The 18,413-nt window shown below is 41.1% G+C and overlaps 1 protein-coding gene and 1 long non-coding RNA gene across 5 annotated transcripts in view; one reads left to right on the top strand and one right to left on the bottom strand.

Moving 5' to 3' along the window:
• The window catches only part of ZNF599 (zinc finger protein 599), a 49,529-nt gene that overhangs the window by 15,872 nt on the left and 15,244 nt on the right, over positions 1–18,413 (top strand). For 2 of the 4 annotated variants that reach the window (XM_047438256.1, XM_047438255.1), the window contains 3 exons: positions 3,056–3,109; positions 4,392–4,586; positions 18,168–18,390. The gene's annotated coding sequence lies outside the window, so the exon portion shown is untranslated. Of the gene's footprint in view, positions 1–3,055; positions 3,110–4,391; positions 4,587–17,571; positions 18,086–18,167; positions 18,391–18,413 lie in introns of those variants that run through there. The other 2 variants (XM_047438254.1, XM_047438257.1) reach the window with 2 other exon arrangements.
• Positions 17,041–18,383, bottom strand: LOC124904696 (uncharacterized). The gene is made up of 2 exons (XR_007067234.1): positions 18,036–18,383; positions 17,041–17,463 (listed from the first exon to the last, which is right to left on the bottom strand). It is a non-coding gene; the product is annotated as an uncharacterized LOC124904696 (long non-coding RNA).

Here is an 18,413-nt window from a genome sequence, read left to right as displayed (position 1 = left end):
TGACCTCCCTGGGGACTTGGGATCCATACAGTCCTTTGACCATCCTCTTACCCCCTTATACACTTCCCTGCTACTGGGGGAGAAGTAGGTTGTATTAGGTTAAAATCAAACTCTAAGTTCCATGTCTTTGGGCTTAATACTTGACATTGCCACTCTCCAGCCTTGTGAGATGTTGCATGATTTCATCAGTGTAAAAGCTGGCTAAGTTAATGCTGGCTATTGTAACACAGAAACACTTTACAATATCAGCAGCCCAGCACAAGGAGAGTTTTTGGCTTTTGTCTTTTTCTTTTCCTCATTCAAGATCCACACAGGTCCACACAGGTTAGCAAGGAGCTCTGCACCACACAGTTATTCAGGGAATAAGAAACATTCTATTGTCAACATGTGGCTCAATTTAAAGCTTTCTTGGCATTATCTGTCAGCAGAGGAAAAATGAGAAAGAGAAGTCATGCCCACTTGCACCCATACATTGCTGTTGCCACTCTGTTGACAAAAACTGGGTATTTGGCTGCACCTGGATTCTCAGAGCCAGGAGGTGGTATAGCTGTGTACCCAAAGAGGAGAGAAAATGGGTTTGGTCAACATCTATCTCATTCTGTACACTTAGCCTACATTTAGTAAATGGTGGTAATAAGACTTTTCAATACTTTTCATCTCATTGGATTGTCTGATGGTATAGTTAGATAATATATGGAACTGTATAAGGTAATGCCTGAAACACAGTGGCTCTAAAAGACTTAGCTATTTGTATTGGTATTGTGCATGTAATAACATTAACTGCAATGAATAATAATAACACATTTCTTTTTTATCTCCAACTTCTTTATTTTTAATTTTATTTTTAATTGACAAATAATATGAATTTATGGGGGTACAGCATAATATTTTGATACATATTTACAATGTGGATGGATTACATCAAGCTAATTAAATCTATCACCTCATATATAATATAAATTTTTGTAGTAAATTTAAAATCTACTATTTTAGCAATTTTAAGATATACAGTACATTGTTTGTTATAGTCACAGTTCTGTGCAATAGATTACTAAAATGTATTCCTCCTGTCTAACTGAAATTTTGCACCATTGATCAACATCTTTCCCTAATCTTCCTCTCCTCCTCCCCCCAGGCCTTCCGCTCTCTACTTCTATGAGTTCAATTTCTCTTGATTCCACATATAAATGAGATCACACAGTGTTTGTCTTTCTGTGCTTAACTTATTTCAATTGGTGTAATATTCTCCAGGGTCATCTATGTTGTTTCAAATGACAGAATTTCCCCCCTTTTTTAAGGCTGATTAATATTTCATTGTCTTTCTGTATTCATTTCACTTTGTATTCATTTTTTCCTGTATTCATTCATTCTTTGTACTTCCTGTGTTCATTCATCCATTGACAGACACTTAGGTTGATGCTTGTGAATAATGCTACAATGATCATGACAGTGCGGGTACATCATAGGACACTGGAGGAAAGTCCTTTGAATGTAAAGCATGTCAGAAAGCCTTTTGTGACAAGCTATCGTTAATTGAATAGAGAGCTCAGAGATAAACCCCACACATTTAGAGCCAATTGATTTTTAACAAAGGCACTGAAAACACACCATGGGAAAAGGACAGTCTCTTCAATAAATGGTGTTGGAAAACATGGCTATTCACATGCAGAGGGATGAACTTAGACCCTTATCTCACAACATATACAAAAATAAACTTAAAATGAACTAAAGACTTAAATATAAGACACAAAACTGTGAAACTACTAGAAGAAAATGTAGAGGACATGCTCCATGACTTTGATCTGAGCCACGACTTTTTGGATATGACCCCCAAAGTACAAGCAACAAAAGCAAAAATAGTCAAATGGGACCACATCAAACTAAAAAGGTTTTGCACAGCATAGGAAACAGTCAACAGAGTGAAGAGACAACCTACAGATCGAGAGAGAATATTTTCAAGCTATACATTTGATAAGGAGTTAATATCCAAAATATATAATGAACTGAAACAATAGCAAGAAAACAAATAACTCAATTAAAAATGTGGGAAGGACCTGAATAGACATTTAGCATCTAAAGAAGACATACAAATGACCAATAACTATATGAAAAAATGCTCAACACCACTAATAATTAGGGAAATGCAGATAAAAATTACAATGAGACATCACCTCACCTCTGTTAGAATGGCTGTTATCAAAAAGAGAAAAGAGCACGTGTTGGCGAGGAGGTGGATAAGAGGGAACACTTCCATACTGTTGGTGGTAATGTAAATTAGTAAAGCGGTTATGGAAAACAGTATGGAAGTTTCTCAAAAAAGTAAACATAGAATTACCATGTGATCCAGTAGTCCCTCTTCTGGACATAGACACAAAGGAAATTAAATTAACCCATTAGACATAGCTGCAATCTGATGTTCATTGCAATGTTATTCATGAAAGCTAAGCTATGGGAACAACCTAACTGTTCATCGAGATATGATTGGGTAAAGAAAATGTGGCACATATTGATGAGCCTAGAGGACACTGTGTTAAGTGAAATAAGCCAGGCACAGAAAAGCAAATTTTACCTGATCTCATATAAGGAATCTAAAAAAGTCATAGGAGTAAAGGGTAGAATGGTCACTAGGGGATGGGAGCTTTGTGGAAAAGTTGCTCAAAGGATACAAAATTTCAGTTAGCAGGAATACTGTCAAGAAATCTATTATACAACATGGTGAATATAGTTAATAATATATAGTCTTCTTAAAAAATGCTAAGAGGGTGGGTGTAAAGTGTTCTCATTACAAAATGATAACTGTGTGAGGTAGGAATATATTAATTAGCTAGATTAGTCATTCTAATGTCTATACATGTTAAAACATCATGTTGCACATGGCAAATATATACAATTTTATCTGTTAATACTTTTAAAAAGAGTCTTAGAATATTAATCATTTTATCCCATCTCAGTATATATGTTATCGAGGCTATACATGATAATTCCATCTTTTTAACTTCACAGTGGAATATTTGTCACGTTTTCTACAGATAATGAGTATTTTTTTAATCCACAGATGTGCCTTCTCTCTGGATCCACATTTCTTCTCTCATCACAGATCTTTCACCTGGTATCACTTTTTGTCATCCTTAAATAGAATTTTCTTTAAGAATTTCATTTTATGCAGGTTAATTTTCCATTAAATTTCTTATTTTTGCTCTGAAGTCATTTTGCTTTATGCTGTTTCTTCAAAAACACTTTTGCTATGTGTAGAAATTTTGGTTAGCAGTTACTTCTTCAGCAGTTTGAATTGGTCCCTTTCACTGTGTCCCTGAGTCACAATTATATTTTGGGAGTGAGTGGTGACAAATATCTTACCATTTTGATCATAGCCTTCAGATCTTAGGTTAGGATATGAACCGAAATTCTAACACTGAGATGGAGACAGTGACTGGATGGGATTGTCACAGAAAAGAGGAAGTAAGAGTATTGAGTGTGGAGGAGAAATCATACACAGTCGCCCTTTGGGATCCATGGGACATTGGTTCCAGGATCCTGCACAGATACTGCATCCACAGATGCTCAAGTCCCTAATATAAAATGCCATAGAATTTGCATATAGCCTACACATAGACTCCTCCCATATATTTTAACTCATCTCTAGATTACTTACAATACCCAATACAATGTAAGTGCTGTGTAAATAGTTGTGATGCTGTATTGTTCAGGGAATAATAAGAAAAAAAGGCGTATACTTATTCAGTACAAAGGCAACCATTTTTTCCAAGTATTTTTAATCCACAGTTGGTTGAATCCATGGATGCAGAACCTGTGGATACAGAGGGCCGACTGTAATGAGTATGTATCTGGTGGCCAAATTGATGGGTTGTGCTAGAAACTGAGTAGGTGCTTAGGAATCCCCTTTCTCTTCCTGGATATGTGGCTTTCCTAAGACTTAATTAATTTGGTATTCACTTGAGGACTGCAGGTTCAAGTAATGGGCTGTTGAAGTCTTGATGAGAGCAGTACCTGATAATTCTGTCAGTAAACATCAGGCTGTGCCATTTCATAGTCAAATATTTGCACCTAGAGGCTGGAGGGAGGTGAATTCCCTGAGTATTAGAGATTAACAATGACTTGTCATCTGCCATCACATACTTGAAATTGTGTCAACTCCACTCTCCACTTTGGCCAGAGGGCAATTAGCTGTGATGTTCTCAAGCGTTGAATCCTGTGGCCTATAAGAATTCATCCTACAGTTTATGAAACCCTCCTGCATGATCTATTTTTAAAAATAAATTCTTTTAAAGGAGCCAAATAGTGTTATTCAAAGGTGTACTATCTTGTAAAACTTTCAGTGATTAACTCTGAGGCTGCTTGATGCATTTGAGTGATGTTTTATATTTTGACAGATATCCCAAATGACCCAGCAAAAGGGACATTTCGTTTGCCCCCTCACAGCCATTGTATGTGAGTGTCTTGTGATGATGATGATGATGATGATGATGATGATGATGATGATGATGATGATAAAAATAGCCGTAATGCATTTCATGAGTACTGACTTTGTGCCAGGTCCTGTGCAAAGCTCTATTACTTCCCATGAGGTATGTGGTGTTATTTTACCTATTTTATTCACTGGATTTTAATGAGCATTCCCTTTCTCAAACTGCAGCCAGGATCAAAATTCCCCTCTGGGCCCCAGCCCCACAGTTTCTGATTCACTAGGTTTTGGTGGGGCCAGGGAGCATGCATTTTTAAAAAATTATCAGGTGGTCCCAATGTTAAAGGTTTGGGAACTACTGGATTAGAACAGTCTTTAATGTTAGTACACAAAGACCCTAAAAGCATGGTATTTTCTTCATTTTTCATTTTGAATGTAGGTTATTGAGTGCCTAGAACTGAAGAGATGCACCTAGGGCCTCAGAGGCAGGAAGGTCAAGGAATGAGTCTCCTATTAGCAACCTCTGAGGGTGGAGCATCAGCTTGGGTGGCCACAGAAATCTAGATGTGGCTCCTTTAGGAGGAAGAAAAGCCCTGCCTTGTCAGTAAGACATTGGAACAATATTTCCCAGGGCCAACTGGAATGCTGTTTGGCCATTGTCATGGAGAAACAGATACAGGTCACAACTATATTACCCAGACAAGTCTCTGTGCCTCCACCCAGGAAAGGGGCACTTCCTGTACCCCACATAGGCGCTGTGGGCTTTGCAAGACACCATTGTGAATGTTTAGTTGGTGGTGCTGGGTTACTCCACAGGGGCCAAGTCAATTCCCAGGTGTTAAAAAAATCATGACGCTTGTTAAAGAATAGTAAGGCAGACTTGATTCAGCGGGACTCTTGCGAGAGATGTAGGGACCACTGCAGCGGGGTGTTCTAGGGTGGGAGAGAGATTGGGCTCAACTCCAACTGCAGCAAGAACAAGTGGGGATTCATACCCAAGGAATGGTGTGGAGGGGTCAATAAATGGAAAAGCACTAAGAGGAAATGTCAGAGGTAAGGGGGGATTCTGGTAAGCTGACTTAGCAGGATTCTTGCTAAAAATGGACAATGTAGAGACAACATGGAAATCCAAATCAGGGCCTAGGTGAGGAGAGAGTTCAAAGGAGCCTGATTAGAGTTTGGTTGAGAAGATCTTTGTCAGCACTGAGCAGGGAAGGACTGTGCAGAGGTTAGGACCTACCTCCACCCCTTTGCATTAGCTATGATCCTCCTGAAATGGGGGTTCTGCCAGGATCCTCCAGAGCCACTGCACCCTCACTCCATCCCATGATATCTTGGGCCTTACGTGTATTTTATACTGGTGGAGTCTGAGGCTTGGAGCACCCAAGTTGGAGCACCCAACTATAACTGGGTAATATAGTTGTGACCTGTATCTGTTTCTCCATGACAATGGCCAAACAGCATTCCAGTTGGCCCTGGGAAATATTGTTCCAATGTTTTACTGACAAGGGCACACCCCCCACAGCACAGACCAAATTGAAGAGCAGGTTGAGCCCATCAGACCTGCCCCAGTCTCCCGCTTCTCACATTCCCACCCTGTTCATGTTGCTCACTGGATATGGTGGCATTGATGGATCCAGTGCAGGTAAGTGGAAGGGCCTTTAGGTCCTCAGCTGCTCAGACCTCCACTCTCAAGTTCTTGGCACTGAGATACAAAGGATAATATTTCCCTGAGACTTTTCCCCTTTCCATCATCACTGGGGAGTCACTGATGTTACCAGAGAGCAGGGGGCAGAAGGCAGCCCTGGAATGCCTGAGTGAGGAGTGGGTCTCTCTTCTGAATGTTCTGGGAGCCCTGAAGGTTGGGAACAGAGCAGAGAGGTGATCTTACTGAGATCCTAACAGGGTCCCTCTGGCTGCAGAGAGGAGAGCAGGCTGTAGAGGCATACGGTGGGAGCAGAGTGACCAAGTAATAGGCTACTGCAATAGTCCAGGTAAGTGGTGTTCGCTAAACCAAAATGGATATGGAAGCAGTGATTAGATTCTGCATCTATTTTTTAAGTCAAGCTGACCAGATTTTCTAACATGAAGGGTAAGAAGGACAAGGAGGTTAGGTGACCCCAGGTTTTTGGCTTAGCAGCTGGAAAGGACAGATGTGCCACCAATTGAGATGGAATAGTTGGTTGTAGGGGAGATTTTAAGTGGCAGTATCAGAAGTATCAGAAGTTAGGTTTTGGCCATGTTGAGTCTGACGGTCCAGGGGCCCCTGAGTAGAGGTTCTGAGCAGGCAACTAGACATACAGTTGTGGTGTGCTGGGGAGGGATTCGGGTTATGAGAATCCAAATTGTGGCATCTAGTATGTGGATGGCTATGGAGTTGTGTGGAGATTTAGGAGAGGAGATTTTCTGGTCATGGTGCAATGCCAATATGTTGAAAGAAAGGAAAGAGTGGAGCCTGAGGACTGGTTATCTTGCTTCGGCAAATCACTGGCCATGAGGATTGCATATGGGGAAGATCAGGATCTGGTAAGTGGCCACATTTTCCAAGGGGGTATCGATTCGAGATGGATGTTGAGGCTTAGCCAGAATGGAGGTGGAATTACAGTAAGATCTGGGATGGAGTTTATTCACCAGTCTCTGGACACACTAGGCTTTTGTGGTGACCCATGGTGATGAAGGAATAGAATGCACAACACAGAAGAGAAAGAGGATCTATTAATAAGTGTCAAACATCTGTGTGTGGTTAATGACTGAGGTTGAAGCCAGGATCACCACCATGTTGGGAGGCCTTCAAATCGGAACTGGGCGCTGCCCTTGCCAGTGGGAGCCATCAAAGGTATTTTGAGTTGTATTCCCCCCAAAATATATGTGAATGTCTTAATACTCAGTACCTTAAAATGCGATCTTATTTGGAAATAGAGTCTTTATAGAGGTAATCGTGTTAAAATGAGATCCCGAGGGTGCATCTTAATCCAATATGACTGGTATACTTATAAAAAGGGGAAATGTGGACCCTGAGACAGACACACACAGAGAGAAGATGACATAAAGACACCCAGGGAGAAGATGGCCATGTGACCGGAGGGGTGTATCCACAAGCCAAGGAATGCCAGGGATTGCCAGCAACCACCAGAAGCTGGAAGAAGCAAGGCAGGATTCTCCCCTGGAACTACTGAAGACAGCATGGCCCTACCAACGTCTTCATTTCAGACTTCTAGCTCTAGACTGTCAGATAATCAATTTCTTTTGTTTGAAACCACCCAATTCAGCAACCCTGGGAGATGAATACAGGGGGTCTTGGGCAGGATGAGCTCCTGGTTGCATTTGCCAAGCACTCTTTGCATGCCATGTACAGAGGGAATTGTGGAAAGCCTATGAACATGGCCATGGTGTGGGCCAGGAGTTGGGTAGCAGCGGCAATTGGGGCTTCACAGGTGGGGCCTAGAGTTACGAGGCAGGTGCAGTCTGAAGAGTGCTACCCCTGTGGGAAGGAAGTTAATGACTGGCCCATGGTACTGGGAGGTTAAGGAAGAAGACTGAGCCCTTTTGTTTGTATCTGGTAAGTACGATCTTGCTGACACTGGGAGATGGCGTTGGGCCCCTTGTATTGATCACAAGGGGATGTTTTTTTAAAAAATATTTTCTATATTTTCTGATGCTTTGACATATTGGGGGCTTGCTCATCCTGGTGAGACCACCCCTCCCAGGGCCAGCTAATTCCTAGAAAATAAACACTTGCCTGTGGGTAAGTCATTCATGTATAGCCAACCAGTCTGAGTTCCTACTCCTACCTGCCTGCTTTTATCAGGTTCCTGCAGCCCAGGACACTGTCCCCCTGCCCTAAATCACTCCAGGGCCAGGTACTGGACAACTAAGGAGCACCCATATAACCCAGAGCTTACTAAAATTATTCAGATTACTCGATCCTTAGCCTGCTCAGTTTACCTACCCTGCCTTGCCTCTTCCTTTCTGTGAAACCACAATAAAACCTCCTGCCCCTGCTTCCCTCTTTGCTCTTCCTGCCTCCTCTCTGACCCTGATCCTTCCCTGTGTAGCCCTGCATGGCGTGGCATGGCCCCTCTTCTTGGGATCTTGGGAACTGTAAGTTAAGAAAATCTTCTTTCAATGGCAGTTGTCTGTACATCATCTCACTACACCTAATTAAAACAAATCCCAGGTGCATTTTAAAAGACCCCACATGCCAGGCCCAGAGTACATTTGGTGTCTATCTGCCTGCCTGCCTGTTGTCAATGTGGGCTGACACAGTGATCAACAGGGTACAAACTGGGAGTGAACACCAGTGTCACCAGTGCCTGATATCTCCTCTGAATTGGGAAGTTGGGGAGGAGAGTAGGTTTGGGATGTATGTATGGGAAGATGGACTGAGGTCCTGAGGAGAGAAGACAGTCATGGAGTCAATAGCCTCCATCATGGCAGGGCTGTGTGACCTTTGAGGATATGGCCATTGAGTTTTCCCTGAGGCAGGTGGGGGCTGTTTGACGAGGCTCAGAGACGCCTATACCATAATGTGATGCTGGACAGCTTTGCATTTATAGCCTTGCTGAGTAAGGTCTTCACATCTTCCCTAGTGACCTGAGCTGGTTTCTTCCTGTCCCCTTGCCCCAGAGGCGGCTCTGTCCTCACAGCTGGAGCATGGGCCCTTCTCACTTCTCTGCTGTCCTGGCACATGTGCTGTGGGTGCTGAACCTCTGTGCACTTCTCTGAGCAGTACCCTCCCCAAGGAGCCCCAGCAACTGCCACCCCAAGGCCTTGCAGGGAAGTTTTGAGGCCAGCCCAGTAGATCCCATCCAGCTCAGTCATTTCTTTCCCAAATGATTGTCCAGTTCCGGGGCAATTCTGGGTGCAGATTCTGTCCCCTTTTTTGGCTGGCATTTCCTGGGGCCTGGCTGTGCCAGGAATTACAGGCACTAAGAAGATCACTATTTGGCTGGGACTGCCGACTTGTTTCTGCAAGACATTCCTCATAGGCTTTTTGTTTCATTTTGTTTTCCATTTTCTTTCCTGTAGTCTGTGGTGGAGTGGTTCCTCTGAACAAATGCTGGCCACTCACCTGCCAAGGTGCTTCCCTTAGTGCTTAGCAACCATTTAGTTGCCCAACTGGAGATGGTGGAATAGGCCTGGGTGCCTGAACAGAGCAGACACCATGACAACCATTACAAGAGGTGGTTAGAGGGGCCTTGGCCTTGGGAAGTAGGAAGACGAGAGTGTGACATCAGGACTAGGTTCACATATCAGTAACCTGTCCCTGTTCACCATTGTTTGGGTTCCAAAGCTAATGGCCATACCTCATCCATATCACTCCTTCCCCATTCTTGAAACTGTATCCACTTGTCATTTCTATTCTGACACTGGGCCCCAGGCTGCACCCCACATCCTGGTCTCCATGTCTCACCCTCTCCACTGCTCACTCTGGAGTGCTCTCCAACATTAGCCTACAATTCATGGGTTGTGAGATGTGCATTTCCATTAATAGTCCCTGAACACCAGCAACTCAGGTGCAATTGCATTTTTCTTGGGCCTGGACACACCCTTAGGGCTCATGTTTTACCAGCAGCCAAAGCCCTGCTGGAGGGTGCTTATGGAGAAGTGAGCTGGAGACCCTGCCTCTATCATTTCTGCACTGCATCCTGCTATTCTTGACTCTGGCAAGATCACGGCACTGTTAAAGCCTCCTATATTCTGTCACTTTGAGAGTCTTACTACTGCGCAGCAGTTGCTTCCTTCCACTTCCTCAGCACCTTTGTCTTACGAACAATTCCGCAGGCTCATTCCTGGGTCAGACATTTGTGATGGGGCTGTTCTCTCCCACTCAAGCTAACAAGAATTTTACCAGCATTTCATTGCTTTCAGTTTTTTGGCATAGATTGGAAGGTAAGCAAGGGCTCTCTCTGTGAACATAGTGTTGAAAAAGTGTCACCTGTCAGGAATCCCAGGCAGGTCCTTCCACCCAGAACCTACACCTGCCATGTGTGTGATTTTATTTTTTCTTTTTCTTCTTTCTTTCGTTCTTTCTTCTCTCTTTCTTTGTTTCTTCTTTCTTTCTTTCTCTTTATTTCTTTTCTTTCATTTCCTTCCTTCCTTTTCTCTCTCTCCTTCCTTCCTTTTCTTTTTTTTATTTTTATTTTTTTTTGAGACAGAGTCTCGCTCTATCACCCAGGCTGGAGTACAGTGGCGCTATCTCGGCTCACTGCAAACTCCGCCTCCCGGGTTCACGCCATTCTCCTGCCTCAGCCTCCTGAGTAGCTGGGACTACAGGTGCCCGCCACCGCGCCCGGCTAATTTTTTGTATTTTTAGTAGAGATGGGGTTTCATCGTGTTAGCCACGATGGTCTCGATCTCCTGACCTCGTGATCCACCTGCCTCGGCCTCCCAAAGTGCTGGGATTACAGGCATGAACCACCGCACCCGGCCCCTTCCTTTTCTTTCTCTTTTCTTTTCTTTGACTTTTCTTCTTTCTTTTCCTTTCTTTCTTTCTCTTTCTTTCCTCTCTTTCTCTCCCTTCCTTCTTTCCCCTTCCTTCCTTCCTTTTCTTTCTTTCTGGCTTTCTTTCTCTTTCTCTTTCTTTCCTTCTTTCTCTTTCTTGCTTTCTCTCTTCCTTCCTCCCTCCCCCTTCCTTCCTTCCCTCCCTCCCCCTCTCTCTTTCTTTCCTTTCCTTTCTCTCTCTCCCTTCCTTGCTTCCCCTTCCTTCCTCCCTCCTCCCTGTCTCTTTCTTTCTTTCTCTCTTTGTCTCTCTCCTTCCTTCCTTTTTTCCTTCCTTCCTTAATTTCTTCTCTTCTCTTCTCTTTCTTGCACAGGGTGCCACTCTGTCACCAAGGCTGGAGTGCAGTGGTACAGCTGCAGCCTCAACCTCTTGGGCTCAAGCAATCCTCCCACCTCAGCCTCCCAAGTAGCTGGGACTATAGGTGCACACTACCACACCCAGCTTATTTTTTAATTTTTTTGTAGAGACAGGGTCTCATCATGTTGCCCAGACTGGTCTCAAACTCCTGGCCTGAAGTAATTCTCCCACCTTAGCCTCCCAAAATGCTGGGATTACAGGCATGAGCCACTGCACCTGGCCATGTGGTCTACTCTTGAAAGACACTTTGCACCTGGCTGGATACCAAATAACACACCCAGGGCAGAAATCATCATACACATGTGGTATGTGGAGAAGATTCTGAGTGAGTGTAAACCTTCCCCAGCAACAGATGCAGAGAATATAGAGAAGTCCATCAGAAAGGAGTAGGGGAGGACCTTGCTTGTGAAGACTTGAAGCAACCACACGTCAGAAGAGCCTTTCGAATGCAGGGAGGATGGGGACTTTCTAGCCACAGCAGGCTTTCTCCAGCATCAGGTCACTCTTAGCATGGGGGAGCCACAGAAGAGCATACCATGTGCAGCAGCCTTTCTCATCATGCAAAGGCATTACCAATGCAGTCAACTTGGAAATGCCTTCAGCCACAATTTCACAGTTGTTTAGCAACAGAGAGTCCACACTGGGGAAAGGCCTTATGGGTGTAGAGAATATGGGGAATTCTTTAGACAGGCCTCCACTCTCAATATGCATCGAGTTCACACTAAAGAAAAGTCTGTGCAGCAAATTAAACCCTTTCAACAGCAAGTGAGATTTACTCAGCATCAGCAAATCCACATTGGAGAAAGGCCTTATGAGTGCATCTCCTAAGAGATGTGAGTTGGAGACCCTGCCTTTCCATCTGGAGCAGTGGTTAAATTTGACAGCTACTACTCTGATCTCTTTCAACACCAAAGAGTTCACACCAGAGAAAAACCTTATGAGTACAGCAAATGTGAGAAATTATCCAAAGCCCCAGCCTCAGTAAACATCAGAGAGTTCACTCTGATGAAAGTTTTCATGAGTGTAGTGACTATGGAAAAAGGTCAGGGCTGGGCATGATGGCTCACACCTGTAATCCCAGCAGTTAGGGTGGCCAAGGCAGTAGGATCGCTTGAGGTTGGAAGTTTGAGACCAGCCTGGACAACACAATGAGATCCTCAATCTCTTCAAAAAATGAAAAAAAAAAAAAAAAAAAAAAAAAAAAGCTGGGCATGGTGGCACATACCTGTAGTCCCAGCTAGCTACTCAGGAGGCTGTGGTGGGAAGATTGCTTGAGTTCAGGATTTGAGTATAGGATTGTGCCATTGCACTCCAACCTGGGTGACAGAGTAAGACCACTGAAAAAAATGTAAGTGGTTGTGCCATTTTTTGTTCTCACCAGCAGTGTTGGTGAGTTCCAGTTTCTCCACATCCTCACCAACAATTGGTGTTGTCAGTGTTTTTAATTTTTGCCATTCCAATAGGAGGTGCCAAGTAGTATCTTACATTTCTGTAAAGACTCATGATTTGGGAAATTATTTTGTATGTTTTTTTGCCACCCATATATCTACTTTTGTGAGATATCCATTCATATTTTTTGCCTTTTTAAAATGAATGTTGGTTGGGTAGATATTTCTGTTTTCACTAACAAGAGTACAATGAAACAACAAAGAAATTTGTTAGTACTTCAGTCATTCATGAATGGTGTTAGTGACTTGTTTGCTAAGTTGAGAAATATTTTTGGATACTAGAAGAATATTTTCTCAAATTTTGTGCTGTTTACAATGTAAAGCTATAGACACAACATACTTTTAAATTTAATCTGCATTATTAACATATTCTCCATTACATTTTTCAGGCTGTACAGTCAACAAAATTCTGACTTGTAGTGTTTGCCAATTTCCCTGGTGTAAATATTCTCACTTTGGCAATGTCATGCAACAAAATGTCTCTAAACCTGGAGACATCTATTTCTTGATAAAACTTTGCTAGACGTTTATCAGTTTCATTGATCTCAAGCTTCTAGTTTCATTGATTTTCTCTAAGTTTTTTCTGCTTATTTCATCGATTTCCATTTTGATCTTTAGTATATCCTTTTTCTGAATCATTTTGTTTCTTTTCTTTTTCTGATTTCTTATATATATATATTTTTTATTATACTTTAAGTTCTAGGGTACATGTGCACAACCTGCAGGTTTGTTATTTAATGTGGAAACTAAGACCCATGATTTGAGACCCTTCATTTTTTCTCTTAGGTGTTTAATATTATAGATTTCCCTTCAAATTGTCTTTCAGCTGTGTCCCAGAGATTTTTTAACAGCTCTATTGAGGTGTCACTAATATAAAAAAACCTGCACATATTTATTGTATACAACTTGGTTGGTTAGAACATATGTGTATACCTGTGAAACCATCACTATAATCAAGGTAATAAACACATCCATCATCTCCAAAGGTTTCCTCCTACCTCTCCCCTCCCCCCCTTTTACTGTAGTAAGAACGCTTAACTTGACATCTGCTCTCTTAACAAATTTTAAGTATACAATATCGTTAACTACAGGCACTGTGTTGTTCAGCAGCTCTCTAGAACATATTCACTTTGCATACTGAAACTTTGTACCTGTTCAATATCTCCCCACTTATCCTCCTCCCAGACCTGGTGCCCACCATTTTGCTCTCTGCCTCTATGAGTTTGACTTTTTTTGATACCTCATATAAGTGGGATCATACAATATTTGTTCTTCTGTGACTGGCTCATTTAACTGAGCATAATGCTCTCTGGGTTCATCCATATTGTTGCACATGGCAGGATTTCCTCATTTTTTAAAGGCTGAATAATATTTCATTTTATACATATCCAGTATATATATCCTATATATATGATATATATAAATATATATTTATACATAATATTATATATAATATAGATATATAGATTATATATAATATATTAATATATAATATATTAATATATATCATATATTATATATTAATTAATATATAATATATTATATATTAATTAATATATATCATATATTATATATTAATTAATATATATTATATATAATATATATTATATATTAATTAATATATAATATATAATATATTAATATATAATATATAATATATTAATATATAATATATAATATAGATAAATATACATAATACAAAACATGATCAATTTTTAAAATATTTGCTCTGGATATATATAATATATATTTTAAATATATATTTAAATATCCAGAGCAAATATTTTAAAAATTGATCATGTTTTGTCCCCTTTATGTCCCTTTTGGTATCATATCTAAGAATTCTTCACCTCACCCTTGGGCTTGACAATTTCCTCATAATGCTTTTATCGTTTTAAGATAGGAGGCAAGACTCAACTCCAGAGGCATGGTCAGACATTGGACCAAATTGAGGACTATCTAAAACAGGGATGAGGTGGAAGCAACTTTCCATAAGACACACCCACCAGTGTGCCATGTCAGTTTACCATTGCCATGGCAACACCTGGCTGTTACTACCCCTTTCCATGGCAGTGACCCTATGACCCAAAAGTTACTACCCCTTCCACAGAAATTTCTGCATAAACCGCCCCTTAATCTGCATGTAATTAAAAGTGGGTATAAATATGACTGCAAAACTGCCCTGAGCTGCTACTCTCTGCCGATGGGGTAGCCCTGCTCTGCAGAGGCAGTCACAGAGCTGTAACACTGCCTATTCAATAAAACTGTTTTCTTCTACCACTGGCTTGCCCTTGAATCCTTCCCTGGGTGAAGCCAAGAACCCTCACAGTCTGAGCCCCACTTTGGGGCTCCACTAATTCCTCACTAATAATGTGAGGAATTTGGTTAGTTGTGATTTCCTGTTTTTGCAATCATTTATTAGAATCACAGAAATAGCAGTGAATTATTCAATAGAAACAGCCGCTGCCTTGCTAATTAGTTTATAAAACTCCAGAACATTTTTGTTTGATTCAAGAGCTGAAGAATCGCAAGCCCATGTTTAAAATTCTGGGAATATCCCTGAGGTGTATATAAATAGTGTTGTTATTTAATGTGGGAAAATAATAATCAAACCCATTAACTTAAATTTAGCCCTAGTCTTGTGTGAAGTGAATATGTGTAAATAAAATATATGAATTCTGTATGAAATATGAGTTAGGATTGCATGATTGCCTAAAGCCCATCTCACACAACTTGTCTGTCCAAATATTTTGAGTCACAATTTATATAAAAACAATTTACATTAAAGTTACATTTACATTTTGTACATTGTACAAAGAGGTTTTGAAATAAATCAAAGTAGTAGCAATAAAGCACTTACCTATTTTGTTGATTGAAAGTAAATGCAACAAAGAAATTCTATTACTTAGGATACAAAATGATAAATTTATTCTACTTTGGATGTTTACCTTTCAAATATATATTTCATCTAATTTCATTTGATATAAGTATTCTGTAATCACTGAGAAGGAATGTATAACATATTAACTCAATATTTAGCAACTACTCATTTCCTTGATGTGTTTCATAACTTCCCTTGACTCTAAATAGGATTCTTTTTAAAGAAATTTTCCTATTTCCAAGTTTTGTATTTTCGCAGTAATAGGTCTAATATTTTGTTCGTATAAATTTACTAATATGTTTTGTTGACACACCTCAGCAATGAAGTGAGTATCCTCATAAATAAAGCTTAGATTTTAGACTATAAAATGTAACAAATATTACATAGCAGGATTTGACACAAACTTTGGTTTGGTCTAAGTTACAGCAGTGTTGTTTTGTTTAAAAAGCCTTCATGAGATATAATTCACTTACCATATAAATCACACGTTCAAAATACATAATTCAGTGGTTTTAACATATTTAAATATATGTGCAACTATCCCCCACAGTTATTCTTAAAACATTTCATCACTTCACAAAGAAACTCCATATCCCTTAGATATCAATCGGCTGTCCCACCACTACCCACCATCCCTAAGCAATCACTAATCTACCTTCAACCTCTATAGAGTTGCCTATCCTGCACACTTCATATACATGGAATTATATACTGTGTGGTTATTTTGTAGCTGATTTTTTCACTTACATGTTTTCAGTGTTCCTCCATGCTGTATTGTATATCAGCACTGCAGTCTTTTCTTATGGCTGAATAATCTGTTATAAGGATATATCACATTTTGTTTATCCATTCATAAGTTGGTAAATGTGTTAGGTTGTTCTTGCTTTGCTGTAAAGGAAAACCTGAGACTGGGTAATTTACGAAGGAATACCCCAGACTGGGTAATTTACAAAGAAAAGAGGTTTACTTGGCTCACAGTTCTGCAGGCTGTACAGGAAGCATAGCACTAGCATCTGCTCAATTTCTGGTGAGGCCTCAGGAAGCTTCCAATCATGGTGCAAGGCAAAGGGGGAGCCAGTGTAGCACATGGTGAGAGCAGGAGCAAGAGAGAGTGAGGGGAAGATGCCACACACTTTTAAACAGTCAGATCTTGAGAAAACTCATTATCTCAAGAATAGCACCAAGGGGATGGCATCAAATCATTCATGAGAAATCTACCCTCACGATCCAGTCACCTCCCAACAGGCCCCATAATATTATATGGTTTGGCTGCATCCCCACCCAAAATCTGGACTAGATGCATAACATATCACCCTGAGATCTTAACATTCAGATGAGGTCAGAGACTGCATGCAGATTTTGGCTTCTCGCATTAAGAAGCATGTGAGAGTGTAGAATGTATAGGATAAATAATAGAATGGAAATCTGATGACTAAATTAATAGATTTTACTAGAAAATGGCCAAGGACTTATCAGTCCCATTATCTCTTTCTGGATGCTCTGGAGGACAGCACATCCTGGCTTCTCTTACATGTGGAGCTATTTGAGTGGTTTGTAGGCCATGGAATATAGGCAGAAGTGATTGCAAAATTGTGTCTTCATTATGTTTTCTTATTTCTGCTCCATCCTGGGGATGCCTCTTTGGATGTAATGCTTTTACTTTTCACAGTGTCCAGGATTATTGCCCTCTTCATGTGGGCTACAGGTTTGGGTGGTGGGCTGAAAGTGTCTTGATGAGACAAGATCTGGTGACCCTGAGTTGCTGGGCATAAGCTGGGCCATCTGGTTTGTGCCTGGTTCTGGCTTCCCTGGGGGCTGGAGGGGCAGATGGGGAGGGGTCAGATCCTGGTTGCTGTGAATTAGAGATGAACAGTGACACGCCATCTTACATCACAAACTAGAAACCATGTCAACTCCACTCTTCCCTTAGGGCTGCAGGTAATTAGTCTCAGTGATCCTAAGTTTTGAATCATGTAAGAAAGTATCCCTTGGGCAATAGGTCTACCTGTATATTAGGAAACCCTCCTGCATATACCGTTTTAAAAAGATGCATACGCCAAATGCTGCAACGTATTATTATGTAAAATTTAAACAGTATTCATGAGGCTCCTGTTGAATCAGTCAACGTATTTGTTTTGACAAATATCAGAGTCTGCAAAGAAGTATCTCAGACCCTCCCCTAGCAGTGTATTGTGATGATGTTGCCAATAATACAGAATATTAATAATGACAGCAATAGCTCTTATGTTCTTATCGGTATGTTCCAGGCCCAGTGCTAAGCAATTCTTAGTTACTTCCCACCAAACAGGTGGCTTTGTCTCATTTATTTACTGGAATTTAAAGAGTCTGGTTCTCAAATGTTTTGCAGCATCCACTTTTCCTGGACAAGTTAAGCAGAGGGCTGGGTCCCACCCCCCAGAGTACCTGATTCAGTGGGTGGGGACTAAGAACTTGCATTGGTAACAAATTCGCAGGTAATGCTGATGTCATCTGAAAATTACTGATAGGGGAAATTTTAATATTATCATATTAAATAATTATCTTCATTTTCCTTAGGAATCTCCATCTCAAGGCTCAGAGAGATGAACTGCTGGCGCAGGGATACACAGGGAGGAAAGTCAAGGCGTGAGTTGCCTGGTAGAGACATTTGAGAGTGGGTCATTGCCTCAGATAATTTCCACGGAACTCTGTGTGCCTCTCCTTTAAGAAGAGGTGAAGCCAATCCCTTTCTTGGGAGCCTTGAGAAGCCGCCTCACCGAGAACAGAAAGTGCGCTCCAGGTACCACCCGGATTCCGTCAAAC

Source organism: Homo sapiens, chromosome 19 (genome assembly GCF_000001405.40).
Source record: "Homo sapiens chromosome 19, GRCh38.p14 Primary Assembly".
Taxonomy (NCBI): Eukaryota; Metazoa; Chordata; class Mammalia; order Primates; family Hominidae; genus Homo; species Homo sapiens.
The sequence above is the reverse complement of the archived record's forward strand: the minus strand, read 5'-3'. Positions and strand labels throughout refer to the sequence as shown.